This window comes from Homo sapiens, chromosome 1, assembly GCF_000001405.40.
Source record: "Homo sapiens chromosome 1, GRCh38.p14 Primary Assembly".
In the NCBI taxonomy this organism is placed as follows: Eukaryota; Metazoa; Chordata; class Mammalia; order Primates; family Hominidae; genus Homo; species Homo sapiens.
The window spans coordinates 208,155,554-208,175,561 of record NC_000001.11 but is presented as its reverse complement, the minus strand read 5'-3'; the positions used below and the strand labels follow the sequence as shown (position 1 = coordinate 208,175,561).

The 20,008-nt window shown below is 47.9% G+C and overlaps 1 protein-coding gene across 3 annotated transcripts in view, besides 3 other annotated features; it reads left to right on the top strand.

Annotated features, from left to right (window-relative positions):
• Positions 1 to 20,008, top strand: part of PLXNA2 (plexin A2) — a 222,143-nt gene that overhangs the window by 68,823 nt on the left and 133,312 nt on the right. The gene's annotated exons all lie outside the window — the stretch shown is intronic.
• Positions 432 to 932: an enhancer, noted in NCBI's record as "H3K4me1 hESC enhancer chr1:208347975-208348475 (GRCh37/hg19 assembly coordinates)". NCBI's record gives its function as "activates a minimal SCP1, AML or CMV promoter by ChIP-STARR-seq in primed H9 embryonic stem cells {active_cell/tissue: H9 hESC(primed)}" and the evidence as "EXISTENCE:reporter gene assay evidence [ECO:0000049][PMID:30033119]".
• Positions 15,146 to 15,656: an enhancer, noted in NCBI's record as "H3K4me1 hESC enhancer chr1:208333251-208333761 (GRCh37/hg19 assembly coordinates)". NCBI's record gives its function as "activates a minimal SCP1, AML or CMV promoter by ChIP-STARR-seq in naive H9 embryonic stem cells {active_cell/tissue: H9 hESC(naive)}" and the evidence as "EXISTENCE:reporter gene assay evidence [ECO:0000049][PMID:30033119]".
• Positions 15,657 to 16,169: an enhancer, noted in NCBI's record as "H3K4me1 hESC enhancer chr1:208332738-208333250 (GRCh37/hg19 assembly coordinates)". NCBI's record gives its function as "activates a minimal SCP1, AML or CMV promoter by ChIP-STARR-seq in naive H9 embryonic stem cells {active_cell/tissue: H9 hESC(naive)}" and the evidence as "EXISTENCE:reporter gene assay evidence [ECO:0000049][PMID:30033119]".

Sequence of the window (20,008 nt, the reverse complement as noted above, 5' to 3'; positions counted from 1 at the left end):
GGTCTCCTTTACCCTAAGAGAATCCTTTGGAGGCCATTTTACATTCTTCCTCTTCCTCCAGGCCAGGTAGCCTCTATCTCTTCTTACTTTAATGCTGGAGCCTTTGTGTCCATGTTCAGAGGATGTGCCAGCCCTGGAGGGATACAGTGGGGGAACAAGAAGAGACCTCCCCTGGAAAGGAAGGACTCTTGCCCAGTGACTGGCTGTATTCCATACTGGAGTCCACAGTTCACTGTCTGGTGCTCAGCTGGGATGAGTGGACCCAGTTGGAATGTAGGAAGACTCACGCTTTGTTCTTATCACATCCCTGCCCTCTCCCCCTCCACCCTTTAGCCTTCTTTCTCATCCTCCCTTAGTGGAGCTCCTGAGTGCTCTTCAGGTACAGGGTCTCCAGGTGTTCCGGTTCACTCATCATATACCTTCTCCCCCAAAGATTCCTGCAGGATCAGCCAGTCTGCTCACTGCTGTTGAGTTCTGTTTTCTAAGGGGTACAGGAGCTCCCACGAGCCACTAGTGTGCAAAGTCCTAACAACAGCTGGCTCCCACCTGTCCCAGCTCCCCCAGAGGCAGCAAATGGCCAGGGCTGGACAGAGTTCCCAGCACCAGGGAGGTATCAGATCAGCAGGGGCCAAATCCGATTTCCCTTGCATTCCAGAGGCATTGAGGGAGACCAGGAAACACCAGCTCATTTCCTCGGGGAATTTCTCTTGTATCCACCACTGTTGTCACTTTGCAGTCGTGAACTTGAGGATATACAGGTGGGGGGAACACATGAGGAGGAGAGAAGGCCTAAGGGCTAGTGTGGAGCAGGGAGTGCATTGTGGGGTTTGAGTTTCAGAACTGAAAGCAGAGAAACTGGGCTGAGCCTTGAGCAGAAGTGCCTGGTGACCCCTGTGGCCCTGGTGCATGGACCAGCCTATTGGGGGCATGGGAGCTCCTCCGGCTTCCCACTCTGATGGCTTAGGTCAGCAGCCTTCACCTGCCTCTTCTGCCCTTCCCAGTCTCCTCCCCTCAGTTTGTCTTCTTCCCCTCCCTGCACACCTCCAGCCTGCCTCCTCCATATGGTCTCCACATCTGGCTGATGACCATCCAGAGAGTTTGACAATGCCTTCTTCCCTCCCTCCACAGCCCTTACCTCCTCCCACCCCCACCCGCGGCGTCTCCTTATGACTCTGCCTTCTGTGTTCCTCCTTCCCTCCCCCAGGCGCCTCTGCAAGAATAGAACAAGCAGGCAGGCTTTCCAAAGAGTTAGCCCTTCTCTCTCCAGCCCCCAACCCCACACACAACCATTGGCTGCCAGGCCATAGCAAGTCCCCACTCCTCTCTTTTCCATACTCAAAGCCCCTCACCGACAGGAGCTGAGGTCTGCCAGTGGGCAGGACCCCTCCATGACCAGGCAAGTGGCCTAGACACATTTGCAAAAACCAGTCACGTCATGACTCAGAGATTCTACCTCTGATCCAAATACCCTTCTCAGAGGGGACTTGGCACAAGGGAGAAAACCCACATATTCCACCAACTTCTCTTCTTTTCAAAGCGCTATCTCAGCGGGCTCCTAATTCTGTCTCCAGCATATGTGCTTCTGTGTGAGTGGGGGTGCGCACATGCACCACATCTCAGCATCCTGGTACCCGCATGGCATTCCCAGGAGGGGCAGAGGAAATGAAAGTCGAGCAAGCAGCAGCAGATGTTGCTGGAGTTCTTCTTCCTGGCTTGGTGCTGCTCATCCTTCTGCAGGTCAGACTGGTAATGAGAGGATTAATTTTAGTTCTCCTCCTTCTTGGCCCCAATATGGCTGGCCAATGCTAGTTCAGCTGGTAACATTTTCATTGGCAAATCCTCCACTCACCCTTGAGACAGGCTCAGCATGCACAGCCCCAGAACGAGATCTGCTGGGAACAGAAGCCTTGGCCCTTATTCTTGGACAGATATGACAGCTTGGTAGCAAAGAACTGATCCTTTGTCCCCTTGCTGGTAGACTGGAAAGAACGCTGGGCTGGACTGCAGGTGAATCCTGCTTGGCCGTGTGCTAGCTGTGTGATTCTGAGAACTTCACTTAGATTCTCTGAGCTCCGATTTTCTCAGTTCTTAATGAACATAATAACATGGGATGCACAGGGCTTGTTGCAAGGATTAAATAAGATAATATATTCATATATAGTAAGCACTCAGCAAATGCTAGATTAAGTCTGAAATCTAAACGGGGCTCATAGTGCAGGGAAATAGAACTGCAGACTTTTTAAGAGACCTTCAAAGGCTCACTAATCCAACATCCTCGATATGGCAGTAAAGGCATTAATACTAGTGGCCGTAATACTAGTAAACACACATAATGTTTTCTGTGCCATCTACTGTTCCAAGTACTTTATTTGTATATATTAACTCTTAATCTTGCACCGACAGGATTTGAAATAAGGAAATTTTACAAATGAGGGCATTTGGCTTATAGAGGCTGAGAGCCCTGCTCTTGTTAGTGGTAAAGCCAGGAGTCCAATCTAGCAATACTGGTTGTAGATTTTGCTCTTAATCACTACCCAACACTGCCTCTCAGATATGCCAGTGAGGCAGCTCCAGCCTAGAGGGCAGTAACTTGCTCACAGTCACCTCGCTGTTAATCTTCTCCCTCTCAGGCCTGGGCTCTTTCTGTGATGTTGAACTGATTAGTCATATTCACTGGGAGCTGCTAGAAGGACCCATCTTCTGCAGCCAGCCAGCCGTCCCCAGAGTATCCCAGTTACTCCTTTCTTCTCTAATGCTGCCCAAAAGTGTCCCCTGAACACAAAAAAACAGCTTTGTGCAGGCTCCTGCAGGGACTCCCAGGTAAGGCCTGAGCACTCTCAGCCCTCCCTTCTGCCAAGATGGATAGTACCATCCAAGGACATGATGAGATCAGCTCCCTCAGCCCTCCAGAATCTGTTATAAAGAGAAAGCAGCTTCCTTGGGATAGTTGCCACCCAAGAACTCAGAAGCCAAGCTTTCCAGCGGTGAGATAAGTGTCAGGGCATGTGCTCGGCTCAGCCTGCCCAGAGCTGAGGTCAGACCCTTGTGACCCCCAGGTGTCATCTGCGGATGGGGGCAGTGCTGTGGGCACAACTAGCAGGCAGAGGAGATGGAAGAGGAGGGGGCAGCGGTAACTTGGAAGTACTTAGGAGTTGTTTTTAAAAGCAATGTCAAAGTAGAGAGCTAGAAATTGAAGGAAGAACAGAACACACTTTTTACAAAGCAAAGTCCAGGGATCCCTGGTCTTTCACAATATGACCCCACCAACCTTTCCAATTCCACAGTACTTCCTCCAACCCAAAACATTACCTCTGCAAATAACAGAGCCCCAAACAGTGGTTTTCACATAGGTCTGCAAACAATATGTGCATCTTTCCTTTGGAGCCACTCTTCAGGCTGCTGTTACGTTGGTGCAAAAGTCTTTGTGGTTTTTGCCTGTTTTCCCCCCAGCTCTCTATTTTGACACTGCTTTGTGCTTATCTCACTGCACAACATTGGTGCAGAAGTAATTGCGGGTTTTGCCTTTTTTTTTTTTATGGCAAAACCCACAATTACTTCTGCACCAATGTAATAACTGCTAAGATGTACTGAGCACCTACTATGTGCCCCAGGCACTATGCATCATATGCATTTTCTTAAATTAATTCTCACCACATAATCCTATTAGGGTAAGAGCTATTATTATCATCTTAAAAAAAACTTCCTTTTTATACAGGGTCTCACTGTCACTCAGGCTGGCATGCAGTGATGCAATCATGGCTCACTGCAGCCTGGATCTCGTGGGCTCAAGCGATCCTCTCACCTCAGCTTCCCAAGTAGCTGGGACTACAGGCGCATGCCACATCATGCCTGGCTAATTTTAAAAATTTATTTATCGCAGAAACAGGGTCTCACTCTGTTACCCAGACTGGTGTCAAACTCCTGGCCTCAAGCCATCCTCCCGCCTTGGCCTCCCAAAGCACTGGGATGAGGCATGAAGGTGTTGGGATGAGGCATGAGCCATCTTGCTAGGCCTATTACCAACATTTAATAGTTAAAGAGATCAGAGGTTAGCGAGCAGGTTAGGTAACTTAGGCAAGTTTCTTAAACTCCTACTGCCCCCATTTTCCTTCTGCTACAATGGGGGACTAACTCAGAATTTATTTTGAGGATTAAATGTATTTTGAGAATTAAATGATAGAGTACATATCAAACCTTTAAAATGTATCTGGGCTGTAGTAAGCATTTAGTAAAAGTTAACTGTTATTATTATCATTACTGCATTCACCATCTCCTCTGACTGAAAGTACCCCAGCCCTTCCCCAGCATGCTCAAATCTCACTAGTCCTTCAGGTTCAAGCTGTGACAGTGCCAACATGGCACCCTGCACTACCACCACACTGCTCTTCTTTGATAAGGACAACTTGCCTCTTCCCAAGTTTATCAAATGCTAAGGAAGCTTACCTACTTACCTTTAATCTATGTCCCCTGGTTCAGATTGGAGCCCATCATGAGATGTTACCACTCGTTACAGCCTGCATTGGGAATAATACCCCCTCCAGGAAGTCTTCCTTCCTCAGCCTCCACTGATATCCCTGAATTCCTGCAAGACCATCCTCTATAATATTCAGCATTTGCTCACTGGCATTACTTCTTGTTATTTTTCTTCCTCTGTCTTGCTCTCTGCACTGGATTGTAGGATTCTTGAGAGCAAGGACTATATTTTATTTTATTTTATTTTATTTATTTTATTTCTGTTTATACTGCCAGGATATTTATCACTCCGGAGGCACTTAAAACACTTGTTGGTTCATGCATCAACCAATAATGGTTAATTGTTCATTAAAAACAATGTAGATTATAGGGTAAAAGGCAATTTTTGACAGTACTTATTCCTACTTCAAAGGCCAGAATAACACTGGGGTCATGAAATCATACCATGAAACCTATTGGGCTTTGATCACATCGGATTCATTCCATTTTCTTGTGCTTGGTTGAACTAGCCCCTTATGAACATGCCCACAGACAGCTCTTGCCTGCTAGCCAGCCTCATGCCCCGGCTCTGGCAGGCATCCAGCCCCACAGGGCCTCCTGCTCCCCTGCCTCTGTGGGTGGCTGTGCCTCTCCTCCTGGCCGTGGTTCAGATCCACCCGCCCCTGCTTCCCCCTGCCTGTCAATCACCAGTCTCTGGAGATGGTCCCCAAGGCCCATGCTAGTTCTCCCCAGCCTCCAGTCACAAATGACTGCTTCAAGGCAGGCTGGTCTTTGTTTAATGCTTCTTTCATTTGACTTTGGGCTAAGAGGAAGATAAATGACACTCTGTCTCTTTAAGGTAAAATAGAGGCATTAAAAATGGCCTATTTTTTTGCCTTTTAAGAAAAAAAATCCTCCAAGTTATTAGCGGAAAGAAAATCATTTGACTTAAGCAGCCTCTGGCAGTCTGGTGATGCTGAGAACAATATACCTATCAGCATCTATCAGGTTTGGAAAACAAAGCCATCTGCATATGGGGAAATGAAGGGGGGCTGAGGACTGAGAAGAGGTGGTGAATATCTAATGAGGGATGCACAGAGCACCCCACGCCTAGCTGGGAAAGTTCTTGGAGGTCCTGGTGTCTGTGGTTGTCAGTGACTAGAAAAGTCTAGACATTTAGGAAGGGAGCATTAAGTTTGGACTTTGAAACTTTTTCTTAATAGTCAATACAGATTTTAGAGTTCATCCAATCTAAGTCATCTTTTTTTTTTTTCATTTTATAAACTCAAGACTGTAGAAGATAAGTGATTTGCCCAAGGCTATACTTGATTTGCACCATAATCGGGGCTAGAATCCAGGTTCCCTGGCTTTCTCAGATTGGTTATCTTGTCTGCTGATAGAAGCCCCTTTTCTCACCTGTTGAACATGCTGTCTCTTTTCTTCTGCCCCAATCTTTCTTCCACTCCAGAATCTCTCCCTGTGGACCCCAGTGTGACTTTCCCATCCAAGTCTTCTGATTTCCTGGTGCTCCAGCCCTTTGTCCACTTGCCCACCAGGCATACCTTCTAGGACAGGGGCTCTGTTTATTCCCAAACAGGGCCACGTACACCCAAAATAGACTTTTGGGTGCAGCAGTAATTTGCCCTGGGGCTAGGTCCCAGCAACATCAAGTCTGCCATGGAAGACAGAGAAATATTCATGACGAGTTAAAGTTATGCCCACAGACAAGGCTGATGGTCCAGACTTGCTGATCATGTGTGACCCGTCCGAACTCTCCCTGTGTCTTGTCATCACTCCGTTAATCTGCACTTGTTTATCGGTTTTTGAATGTGTGTCCTGTCTGCATCTACAACGTGTGCCTGTCACCTCCTGCCTGCCCTTGACTCCCAAAGGTCAGCCTCAGAGCCTCTTTTTCCCTTGAGCTCTCTCTGGGGCACACAGAGGAGCTCAGTGCAGGGAGGAGTCTGCCTTTACCCCAGCCCAGCTGTTCCATGTTCAATAACTTGGTCTGAGAGCATCCACAGGCCAGAGTGAGGACAATCAAGACCCTCTCTAGGGAGTTCATGAAAAAGAGTGCAAGCCGGGTGGATGATCAGCTTGGCCTTATAGAAAACCATCGAAGGGCAGGGTATCTTTTGAAATGAATATGGGGGTGGAGTTGAGAGTCCGTGATCCTGGAGAAGCCTGGTATTCTGACTCCCAGAGGTCCTGCTTCTTGTGCCTGCTGAGAAGTCCTGTTTCTCTGGCCTCATGTCCTGGTTGAGATTGGGTCTCACTGGGATAGCATGACCTGGCCACAGATGGCTCATTAGAACTGTGTTGAGCCATCAGTCTCTCAGGAGCACTACCTGTCATTCTAAAAAAAAAAAAAAAAAAAAAAAAAAACCCCGCATACTCTTTGTCTTCTTTTTGTCTTTATTTTCCCTTTTAGAGACTCCCTAGTCTCTGAGGGCCTGCTGAAAGCAGCAGATAGAACATTTGAGGCAGACACCTGAGTTTATATCCCAGGCTAGCTGTATGCCTTGAGCAATGCACTTAAGCTCTCTGAGCCTATTTGTTCTTCTGCAAAGTGGGGGCAATAGACTCCCCCTCATGGCATTATTATACAAATTGAATAAGAGATGGAATATCATTCATTTATTCAGTAAATATTTCCTGAGCACCTCCTATGTGTTGGTCACCCTCCTAGATGTTAGGAATACATCAGTGAACAAAACAGATCAGCACCTGTTGCATTCTAGTGCCCTGTTTTAAATTGGAATGTGTGTATTTTAACTGAAATCTGAGGGAAGGTATTGCTACATCCTCATAGTCCATTCCTCTTCTCTGGACAGAATACCTCTACTCGCTATCCAGATGTGGCTATATATGAAGAGGGGAAAAGAGAGGGAGACAAATATGAACATTTAAGGAGAACCACTTCTCCTAAATTACACCTTTTAGTTCTCACCAATGGTGTAGGTATCGCTGTCCCTACTTTCCACATAAGTAGATGAAAGCCCTAGAAGCTTGCGGAACTTGCCCAAGGTTTCACAGCCCATGAGTAGCAAAACCAGGATTTGAACCACAGTCTTCTGACTCTAAAGACCTGCCTTTGGGTTCCATCAAGCTGCTGCATATAGCACATTCACTTTGTCACCCATCTCAGTATTAATAACTCTGGGACCCCAAGCCAGAGAGCAATTCTGTAATGGATTTGTGTTGGGTGGGGTGAGGAGTGGCAAATGGGGGGTCAGCATGCAGGTGCTTGTGTTTGTGTCTGCTGAGTCTGTGTATGTGTGTGGGGTTTCAACGACAGGGATCTCAGTAGGGAATTGGTATTTGGGCTGCTAAATAACCACAATTTGTATTAAGCAGAAACATAGTCATTATGCACCACGTGCGGGCTGCTGCTGCTCACTCCCGTTAGGGAAGAGCGCAGCTGATGGCACTTTGGCCTGTGGTCTTGTGAAAAGCTTCCACCAGGGGTCCTGAGATGGCCTTCTGGGGACAGGATATTGGGAGGAGGTGGTAGGGGAGTAAGAAGAGCAGGGCGCTAGGGCATATGGACCTCAATTTCAGGAGACGTGCTCCTTGCCTCCTACCTCTATGGGCCTCTCATCAGTAAGGCCATTCTGGTTCTCATTAACGCAAGTAAATACGCATCCCAGCACTGGGCAGGGGACACGTGTTGATATTTAATTATATAGTGTGCACTGAGCATATTATGGCTCCTCCAGGGAATGGCAGCTGCAGACAATGAGGTGCAATGGAGTACATTCAAAACTACTTAGTTAATTAATGCATTAGCGGCCCACTTTGCTGTGAGGGGGGTGTGGGAGAGAGGGCAGAGATTTTCCTGGTGTTCTTTTCTCCCTTCCTGTTCCTCTCTTCCTCTCAGCCTTTTCTTCCAGAAAATATAAAATCGCCATAGTCAGGGGAGTCCTCATTAGGAGCTGTGGTCCAAGATTTACTGAGAGAATAAGGTTAAAATTCAGCACTGAGATAAGTGAAGCTTGGAAATCATACATGGATTTCCTTTGCCTAGTTGATGCTTATCCCCAGCAACCTAGAGAGGCTGGCAGTCAGCAAACTGACATTCCAACGTAGCCCCAAGCTCTGCTCTCTATTTTGGGAACTCCCTCTCTCATTCAGTAGCCCCAGGTGCAGACTCAGGTGCGGAGTTGCAGCAACACACAGAATTCCATTGTGCTGAGAGCTTCATGGTTTGGAGTGAGGAGGAAGGAGTGCTATGCCTAAGCCAGGTGAAGTGTGAGGAACCGAAACCAGAGGTTTAGAATCCATCTATTTACAAAGAGACCCTTCCTTCTAGGTTTCTTTCAATATGTGTTTCCCCTCTCCTCCCACTCCACATGGCACCTTTAATTCTTACATCAATGCATGAAGTTCTCATTCTGTGTTCTTTGCGGTTTTCATTGTTATAAACTTTGTACATTTGTTGATTTTCCTTTCCTCACCCTGGAACCCATGGACTTTATCTCTCATTCTTTTGAACTCAGAGGCATTTTCCAAACTGCTCCATGTGCATTTGTCATTAAGCCTCTTAGTTACCTGTATTGCTCCCTCTCAAAACAAGCTGCTAAGGTCAAAGACTAGATCATACTCAGCATTCTGTGCATAGCACCATACTTTGCACAGGAGGCATTCAAGCTGTATTTGAATGCCTTCCTTATTGGATCTTCAGGAAGTACCTGCAGGTCAATGATCATGTCTTTTTGTCTTTTGGGATCCCTGCTGCCAGCTCAGTGGGCTGAGCCTGCTGAGGGTTCCAGCAATGCAGACCAGTTGGCTGCCTTAGGTCCAAGCCAGCCTAACATCTGCTCTTAGGACAGTCACCTAAGCCAGAAATCTCTCGGAGAGAAGGTGTGTTGTAGCAAATCTGTGACTGGGAATGGAACTCCCATCACTAGTTGCTGATGTTATCGAGATTTTTTTCCCTTTTTCAAAATCTCACTATTGTGGTTGATTCCTTTCTGTGTTGTGTTTAATGTGAGAAACATAATCTGCCCTTATGATTTCTTTGTAAAGGTGGGGTGGTGGGGAAGGAGGGGTTCCCTTTTCAGAGTTCTCTCTCCTTGGACAATTAGAGATGAGGCCTACGCATGGGAAGTAACTCTCAGTTCATCGGTATGGAAGAAAGAGCCCTCAGCTGTAGCAGGAAGTCAAACCTTAGTGGGGACCTTTCTGAGCAGGAGGGAGGAGTACAGTAAGCACTGAATCAGCTTGCCAATGGGAGTTGTAGAACATTTGTTCTCTCTGATCAAAAAATGAGACCCAGATGTCCTGGCCCACGTGGGAGAGGATGAAGTCACCGGAGGCTTGAGGCCGCTCTCAGTCCTGGAACTCTGTAGTTCTGAGGTGAGGCAGGGACGCCACTGCTCAAGCTGCCTTCTGGTCCTGAGGGAGTGGAGACCAGGGACCCCAAGACCAGCTTAGGGTTGGACCAGCCCCAGACCACATAGGGGTAGCTGGGCTTGCGGGGTTTTGAGACAGATGAAGTTGAAAGAGGCTATTGACGAAAGCTGCCCCGTTGTTGTTTTCCTAATGGGAGGGTTAAGGCGAACAAAATCGTGGAGAGAATGGAGGATACAGGAAGAGCCCTAGAGAGGACATCAGAAAGCCCTTACTGAAGTCCACGCTGCCACTTCCTAGATGTGTGACTTTGGGCAAGTCTCATAAACTCTCAGAGCCTTGTTTCCCCAAATATAAAACCGGGGTAGTAATCCTCACCTCACAGGCATGCTGTGAGGGTGCAATGAGGTATTCTATGTAGAAACACTCAGACACAGTACAAACATTCTCTAAACACAGGGTACTATTATTTCCTCCCCTCTGAGACTTACTTCCTTTTCCTGGGTAAGAGAACATAAGCTATAAGATGAATGAGGGCTTGGGTGCACCCACCAGAGATCTGCTGGCATGCCAAGGATGCCCAAGCTCCAGGCTGAGAAGGAGGGAGGCCAGGTGACTGCCATGGTCCTCATTTGCTACATGGCTCCCCAGGCCTTAGAAAAGAGGCAACATTAATCCCTCCATCTCCACAGGCCTTTGCCAATCATTGCGGCAAATTCAAACAGGGGGCACAAGAGAAGCGGAGGGTCCAGCAGCTTTGGTTCCGTCCCTGACTTCCCGCCTCAGAGGCCTCTCATCACTGTAATTCCCCTGGCAAGGCCCCCACCTAAGCCTCTTTGCTAACAGAGTATTTTTAACCTGCCACCTCCTTGCAGCTTTGCCGATCTGCAGACAAGGGTCCCGGCGAGATAAGAGAATCCGTTAGTGCCGCTAGAGTCAGGCAGCGCCTGCTAAGTACTTCCTCAGGAGCTCCCTCCTCTGCCCCCAGGGAGCCGCTGCCGGACTGACGCCCAGGGATCTGAAGGCGAGGAGGGCTGGGTTTGGCACCTGCATGAAGGGAGCTCCAGCTTCTTCACTCAGCCCAGCCTCTAAAACAGAGTTTGTTTTCTCTATCTTAGGTGTTTTCAAAGATGGTCCCTGCCCTGGCTTTTTAAGGAGCCAAATTATTCCACTTCTAAGGGTATCAGATACTTTCATCTTCCCTTTTCCCTCCAAATTCTGTGGGGATTTGGAAAGAAAGTATTTCTTAGAAGGTGTCTGGAACTGGCCCTCAATGGAAGACACCACCAAAAAGCAACTGGTACTAAACCTCCCTATGAGAGGGAAGGGAAGGAAGGCTCACCTCTGCTCTTACCTTTTGCATTAGGGCATGCGGAGCAAAGAACTGCAGAGTCCTGAACAGGGTTCAGGGAGTAGGGGCAGAGCTCTTGTTTCTCCTCTTCCGCCTCCTCAGGTAGATGTTGGTGGTGAATGGAGCAGAAGAGGGTTTTGGGGAACAAAAAAGAGGCAGAGGTGGATTGGGCTGGGAGGGGCTTGCCCAGGAAGGGGAATCACAGAAGTCTTCCCCTGTAGCCTGCAGGGCTAAAGGTGTCCCCTAACCAAATGCTCTCTAATGGGGCACACACATGCCAGCCCCTTCCTGCTAAGGTCAATTTCCATGCTAAATTGTTCATTATTGCCATGCGGCAACACTGTATGGAAGCGTCAGAACCCACAAGTGTGGGCAGAGTGGACAGGTGAACACATGAATACACCTGCCTTCCTGTGCTCCATGGGGGGAAGCGGCCCCTTTGTGGGGGTGGTGATGAGAAGCCCCCCACATGCTGACATCCAAGAGTGGGAGAAGGGCATCTGGCCCAGAGGCAGAGATCATCAATTCATTTAGCAAGAATTTATGGAGCATCGACTTGCCAGGCACTGTGTTCAGCACTGGGGACACCAAACTCAACAAAACAAAGGATGGTTGGGAGAAAGGACACCAGCAAGTTGTTGCACAAATAACTGCTTATTACATGGCTGGCCAGTGTTGTAGAGATGTCCAAAGTTCAATAAGCAGCATGGGAACCTGTAACTAGGGAACCAGAACTACTGGGAGAAAAGGGATCAGGAAAAGCTTCCTGGGGAAGCAATATTTAAGCTGAATTGTAAATGCTTTGTCAGCCTCTCTGTCTCATCCCTAATATGCACAGTTTAGAGCTCCCTACCCCATGCCCCTTGGGGCCACCCATCCACATTTCCCACCAGCCATCCCAGGCAAAGGTGAGCTCTCTAACTCCCATACTGCTCCCTCTCTCTCATTTCCCACATTGAGTTTGCTGCCAAATCTTGTCTGTTCATCTTTTCCCTCACCTGCCCTCCTTTCCACCTCCCTCCCCCAGCCCAGGCTGAGACTTTTATTATCTATTCTTGAACTTGTGCTGGCTCCTGCCCTGCCTTCTCTAAGTTAGCTTTCACATTTTTTATATCATTTAATGGCTCTCCGCAGCTTGTAGGTAGGGTATAGCTGAGTCTCTTGAGCAAGGTCTTGGCATCCCTCCACCAGAAACAGTTTATCCCTCCCTACATCCCTTCCCCATGCCACTTCTGCCACACTCACACCCTGTTCTTCCAGCTTTGCCAATCCCTCCCTCTTCCCTAAGTGCCCCTGTGCCTTGGCTCAAGGGTCAGTCCATGCCTATGTCTTGACTCAAGCTGTCCCTGCCATGCCTCCCTCTCTCTGCCTGATGAAGTGCCCTGTCCTTTCAGGTTTAAGTTATATCACACCTCCTCAGTGAAGCCTTCCTGATTTGCCCCTCTATAATCCCACATTTCTTATCATTGGTTACAGCACTTAGCAGAGTCAGCCTTGTATGTGAGTTGCTTGTATTTCTTTGTTAGAGGCAGTGTGCACAGTGGTGAATGTCACAGACTTTGGAGTGGGATTATTTGAGCTCAAAACCTGGCTCTGTTCTTACTAGGAGTATGACTTTGGGCAAGCTACTTAACCTCTCAATGCCTTACTTTCTTCATCAGGCATACAGAGATAATAACAGGACCTACCTCATAGAGCTATTGTAGGCATTTAATGTCTTCATACAGGTAAAGCACACGGAACAGTACCTGTTTGTTATTATGTTTATTTCATAGTTTATCTGCCTTCCTTGCCTGATTGTGAACTCCTGGAGATCAAGAAGCATGCAGGATTCATCTTTGTACTCCCCTAAAAAGATTCTGCTTCTCCCCATAGTCTCCTCAAAGAAAGAAGCACAAAGGGCCAAAGCTAGAAAGGACCTCAGGGCTCACCTTGAGTAAATGCTAATTTTATATATCAGTCAACTGAGGCCCAATAAACTGAAGGACTTGCCCAAATCACACAGCTAGAAACAGCTCTGGAAACCTAGCAGTCAGGAATGTAATACCCAGGTCTAGCTCACATCTCTCCTGCTCCAATACAAATGCTATTTCTACCTCCTCTTTGGAGAAGAACAGATGGTCAGTGTCATCTCCAGTCTTCCCTTGGCATATCACTGAGTCACATTTTCCAATCACCCTCAGCCTTCTGCCCTTCCTGCTAATGGATGTCAGCTGTCCTGAGCCCTTTGGCCTTTCCTAATGAGGCAGGTTTTTCTACCTTCCCATCAGGGTGCTGTGCTTCTACACAGGGTGCTGCGTGTTCTTTAAATAGAGAGCTCTAAGGAGCTACAAGCAGGATTTACGCTTGGCCTCAATGGAGACTCCAGGGCGAAGAAGGGGAGAGATCAAGTTGAGGCACACACAGGCTGGCTCCTGCTCCCCCTCTCCTCCCAGCACCTACCCTGCCAGGCACCCAGGCCACATTCAGACTCCTCCTTTTACTGTGGATTCAATACAATCTGGAAAATGCATTAAACATGACACAGAGTAGTTGACGCGTAATTAATAAAGTACAGATTTTGGCTGGAAGCCTCAACTTAAAATAGCACCATGACTGTGGAGAAAAAGGGAGGGCAGGGGAGAGAGGCTGGAGATGAATGTGATGAGAACCAAGACCGTTATCTCTGAGAGTAACAGGACCACTTCTCCCTCCAAAGCACCCTGAAATTAAGGAGGAGGAAGATAACAATTTTTTTATTATTATTAATGGGATGAAGCTGAGGCTCAGAGAGGCTAAATGTCCTGCCCAAGGACACTCGTGCACCATAGGACAGAGCCTTGGCCACTCGTCCGTGCCCTCAGGTGGTCAGAGTCCACCATTTGCGTATTAGTAATCTACTCTCTCGTGAAGTTGCACATTTCAGGACTGTTTTTAATTTGAGAGATGTTTTAATGGCATTTTGAGACAGACTGTTCCCTAGCTGATTCTCCAGAGAGGCTGGAGGGAGCTTCATATTTTCTTTGAAGAAGCAAAAAATAAAATAAAGCCTTTTCTTCTGCAAGCACATTCAGAGAGCCCTTTGCTGCAGTTCACCAGCCTTCTGGTGTGAGGGGAGAGGTGAGAAGGGGATTGAGGAAGGAGAGGGAGAGGGTAGAAAAGGCTTCTGTGGTTCATTCAAATGCCTGGGCCTCAGGGGCATTCTCTATTGAAGCTGGATCCCTGCTGCTTTCTGCCAGAGATTCCAGACTGGTTTTCTGAAGCAAAATGTAAATTTCAGCCCAACTAATCAACCCTGATAAGGCAACATCACCTCCAGCCTGCCAGTCATTAACAAAGGATCCAAGGCAGACCTGGGCGACTAGGAGCAGCAGCTCTGGGTGGAGGAGGCTGAGATGGAATATTCTGAAAACTCCAGAAGCAAATCACCAGAAAGCAGAATTTTGATAACAAAGGGGAAACTGAGGCAGGAAATCCTGATGTGATTCCCTCATGCCACTTGCAGTAATTCCTTCCTGTCTCTACAAGGTAGAAATGAACTTGATCTTTTTAAAATAGCAGTGGAGAGATGGGGACGTGTAAAAGTCTATTATAGTACAAGGCCCAGTGGGCCCTCTCTGAGAATAATTAATCTATGAATTATGTGACATAGGAAAACAGCACTGGTTTCTGTGGCATGATCTGTGTTGCATTTGTTTCTGTGCCCCAGAGCATGAATGCTATCCTTAGCACATAGCAGGTCCTCAAAAATGTTTATGGCAAGATTCAGGAGACCAAAACCAAATCTGTGCTCTAAACCTCTCAGAGCCTTGGTATATCTGTCTGCAGATTGGGGATAAAGAAGGCTTGTCTTTCTTCCAGCCTGTTGGGCAGATTGAATGAGATGACGTTCCTGTGTGGAAGCCACGCAACAATGAGATGCTGTTGAGTATCAGATATCTGGCTGCCGTGTTCTACCTAGTTCTGTGTTCCTCCCTCCCATGCCTGGGTCAGGGCCAGCTAGACTGATCTGGCAATCAGAGGGACACAAGGAGTTTCTCCTCCACCCCGTGGCTCTCCTTACAAGCACACTGTTCTCAAATACCCAGAACTTGAACCCAGAACCTTATACAGCTACTCTTCCCAGGGGGAAATAGTTCAGAGCTCCAGAGCCAGAGGCCCAGCTGTCAACTAAATTCCCCGCAATAACCCTTTCTACTTCTGGGCGGGGGGGGTTGTACTAATGAAGGGAAGAAGGGACAGAGAAAAAACATGCTATCTATCTCTGGTAGCAGAAGGAGTGAGGGAGGCTCTGGTGGGAGAGACGGGTTGGGTTTCACTGGCATTCCATAGCAGGCCTTCCGAGTGCAGCTGAATCAGAGCTGAGGGAGCTGCCGAGACCAGAGGAGCCTTACAGTCGACTGTGGGCAAACCTGATAGCCCATCTGGAATCCATCCATGGCCTGGCTCCCTCCCCCATGTCCTGAGCTCACTGCAGAAGCCATGGTGGAGGAGCAGGGCCAGGCACCTCAACCAGCAGGCTGTAAAATCCCCCAAGTGCCAGCCCACCAGCCCCTGCTGTCCCTCCCTGGCTCTGGAAGCACAGGTTCACCCTCCCACTCACCAGCCCCTGGCTTCAGTTCCTGCCCCTTCCTCTCTGAGAACCAGAGTGAATAATCTTACGGCTTTGAGTAGTACAGAGATGGCGAAGCAGCATCAGAGATCCGGCCCTCCTGAGGTTATTTAGAGGGCCTGAGAATGCCAGCTCCAGTCCATGTCAGCAAGAATTGCAAGTGGGCGTCACGGTAGCACCAGACTTTCAGATCTTCACAGAGGAGTTGACCAGCCCTTGGCTGTCAGAGTCCTAAATCCCCTTGGATGGCTGGTGTCCCCAGTCTCCTCTGACTCCAACATCCTAAATGCCCAGACTCTCAAGACAGAAAGAGCACGAGCTGGAGGACGTGGGATTGTGCAAAGAGCAGGGGCAGCCGTCTTCCTGGAGCCTGGTACTTTAGCATAGGCTCCCCAGCTGTTTGCTTGGTGATTTTGAGGGAGTTGTGTGCTTTCACCAGGACTCAGTTCCTCTTCTATGGGAAGGTACTTCCCCCCACAGGATGATCATGAAGATCAAAAAAGAAAAATTAGGTGATAGAAACAAACAAAATGTCATTACCTTCAGCATACCCTCAGCCTAGCAGATGATAATGCAGTGCCTGTTAGATGGACAAAGGACAACATTGGCTGGGAGAATCAATGCCCAGCTCTGAGGAGCCCTCCCCAGAGCCTCTAGGGAAGGGGTTTCCCCATTTTCCTGGCATTTCTCCCACTCCCTAGGTTGATTGGAGTCATGGTGGTTTTGTTGTCACCTGCCATATTTCAGTAACCTTTGACCATCGCCCAGCTAGCCTGTGGGGGTAGATGCCTATGCGGCTCTCCCTCCCTCTCCCATGCAGAGAAGCACAGTCCTCCCTGGGAGCAGGAAGGAATGTGCTTCCTGGGAATACTCCTTGCCCCATGTGCTGGAGATAGAGCCCACTGCAGGGCTCCACCACAGGGAGGATCTTGAAAGCCAAGAAAAGCGACCCATTTGTTGGAGAACCCGACAGGGTCAGAGGCAGCTCAGACCACCTGTAGGGAATCAGGCCCTTTTGCCCACCACAAATCTCTTTTAACAACAAACTTTGAGAACAGCCTGTTTTCCCAGCGCAGCTTCCTGCATAGTGTTTGCCTAATCTTTCTGTCCAAAATCCCTCTCCAAACAGGAGGTTTCCTGCCCAGCACTGGCAATCAGAGAGCTAATTATGTGGGATTAGAGATGGAGTTGGGGGGTGTTCCTTTTAATTACAGGAAAAAATTAGTCCAACTGATGTCGGCAAGGCCACTGGGATTAGAATGAAAGTCCAGGTTTGGGCACAGGTCAGTTTGGGAGGTGGTAGAGCCCCCATGCTCTGGGGCTGGTGTCTTCTGCCCTTAACTGCCTCTGGAGTCTGGGGCAGACAGGGGGAAATGCAGGTCTCTGAGGAGCTTCTCTTTTGGGAATCTTGGAGAGGTCATGTGTATGTATGAGAGAGGAGACAGACACAGGGAGAAAGAAGTAGAGACAGCACAGAGAAAGAAACAATGTATATGGAGAGATCTGGGGATTGATGGGAGAGAGACAAGGAAGGGAAGGAGAAAGAGAGACGCAGGTGGGTGTTAAGAGGAGATTTTGAGTAAAAACAGACAGAGGGACACAGGTTTAGAGACCACCATTTCTCTCCCCACACTCACTGTGGACTAGTATTTATGTGACTGTCTCTTTCAACGGGGAAGAAGAGAAAGGCATCAGAAGCTGTACCTAGGCTTCTGTCCTCCCTCCTTCCTACCTTCCTTCTTTCCCACTTCCCACTCTCTTTCCCCTGGTGTCCAGCACACTGGCCTGGTTTCACAGCACACGGTGCCAGTGAGGAATGCTTTGGCCTGGCTGGGGACAAGGATGGTGTGGAAAGCTTGGACTCCGCTGGGCTCCTAGTGATCTTGAGTCTCCTCTGTGGCCTGAAGATGGGGCTTTCTGCCAAACAGTCTTGCCTTCTCTCCTATGAGAAGAATCTCTTGGCCAGAAAAGCATTCATTCATTAATTTATTCATTCATTCTTCCATTTTACAAATAATTACAGAGCTTTATTATGGGCCAGACCCATAGGAGTTTCTCCTCCACCCCCGTGGCTCTCCTTACAAGCACACTGTTCTCAAATACCCAGAACTTGAACCCGGAACCTTACACAGCTACTCTTCCCAGGAGTCTATGAATTTTTATTAGTGCAGTGGAATACAAATCAACCACTGGCTTTCCATTTTGAGTGGTATCTCCCCACCTCACCCCTGTCATCCAGCCCCTCACTTACAACATCCTGAGAGTAGCCCAGACCCTCACTCAGAAACATCCACTGGCCAACTCTTCCTTAAAGAGGCAAATGATATAAGCACAGAGTAAAAAGACCTGAGAATATTTTGAGGCAATGTACAACAGGTACAGATTCATAGGGTACAAAGAAAAGACCTGAGCATAATTATTTGTGTGTATTCATATCTCACTTCTTTCCAAAGAAGGAATTAAGATGACTTACAATAAAAGATTTGGCCAACATGGAATGATAACTGTCTTAGAACTAGAAAAGCCAAGCCATAAAGGGAGTAGAAACACATATGTTACCAAGAAGGTCAACATAGGCACCAGGATCCAGCATGAGATTTGGCCTGAGTGTCCCAGCAGCCAAGTCATAAAGGGAAATGAAATGAGCAAGAAATCTTTACACTTTGAGAGAAGGCAGTGTCCCTACTTTTCAGGACATTTCCCAGACATTACATTCTGTAAATTATTTATCATGTGAGACCTGTACAGACACCAGGACAAGAGTTTGACATCCAAATCAGATGCTTCTTTTATATGGCAATTTCTTGTATTAGCTCCTGACAAAGTGCCAAGGCTGTGACTTCCATGCAACAAGCAGCATTCGATGTGTTATTCTTATGGAGTAACAAATGCTGAAAAATAAGTATATGAGGCTGTGAGGGAAAAGGAAGCTTGCTGGTTTGGCTTTTGTGGTCCAAGTTTACGGCTTTCTGGAGCTCTCACTTGATTCAAGTATAGAATGCAATTTTTAAGCACCCTGTCATGCTTGGCACTCTGCTAAAAGTTGAATAAAATGAACTATATAGATTCAACTTCTACATCTGGGAATTTATAATTTATGTTGGCACTTAGATGAGGCTCAGACAGCAGAATAAGAGCATTAAAATGACAGACAGTAAGATGTTAACATTATACACAAGACAAAGGTGAGTGTATTTTAGGGAAGTAAATGGATTAATAAAAGATTTTATAATCAAACTGACTCGTTTGCATGCCTTTCTACTACTGGCTGGCTGTGTGGCCTAAGGCAGTCACTTAACCTCTCTGAGCCTCAGTTTCTTCATCAGTGAAATGGGTTTTGGGTTTCATCAGTGAAATGGGTTTTGTAAATGATTTGCATGTAAATCATTTACATAAGATGCCTGGCGTCATGTCCAATTCGTAGCATGTGCTCAATAGTATAGCTATGCTCACATTCTAGGATTGTTAAATAGGGATGAGTTCCTAGTGGGGTGAGAGGAGCAAGAGTCTTCCGATCCACTCCAGGGAAGCTGAAGACTCATTACTTCTTTCGATGAATGCCCCCAAAGCCGTTCGCTTCCTAATAGTCAGGATGTCTAAAGCTGAACTGGAAATATTCCAACATAGGTCATCTCAGGAACCCGAGAAACCTCTCCCTTTGATCTGTTTATATCACAACTTGACTGGGAAATCCATAACCCTCCTTTCTTTCACCCTGCTTTCCCCACTTAGGAAATGCCCAGGACTTGGATTTTGCTGCCCCAGGGTCATTATTTAGGCCATCCTCCCTCACCAGCCACATAGGCTCTCCTTTCCTTAAGCCTCAGGTACTCCTTCACTGCGCTTCATGGGGAGGTCCTGGTGTCAGGCAGAATGAAGGGCATTAACTCCCACATTTCCTGGAGGGATCCCTTTGTCCAGATTGGTTGTCAGCCAGACCCAGGCAGCCTCCAGGCTATAGCAAGAGGGGGTGAAGATGGGAAGCCATGTGATGCTCCCCTGCACACCCCACCACACCCCTGTGACAGCTGGAGCCCAGCATCCCATGAGCCAGAGCTCAGCATCCCATGAGCCAGAGCTGGGCAGGGAGGGTGGGACAAGTCCAGTGCAGCCGGGTGTTGGGCCAGGAGTCAGGTAGGCCCCAGGCGGGTCCTCCAGGCACATCCCCTTGGTCCTGCCCTCCCCATCCTCACCTCCGCTTCTTTGCAGTTTCTCTGGTACTTTCCAACTTACTGCCAAATTGTCAAAAGCTATGAGAGGCA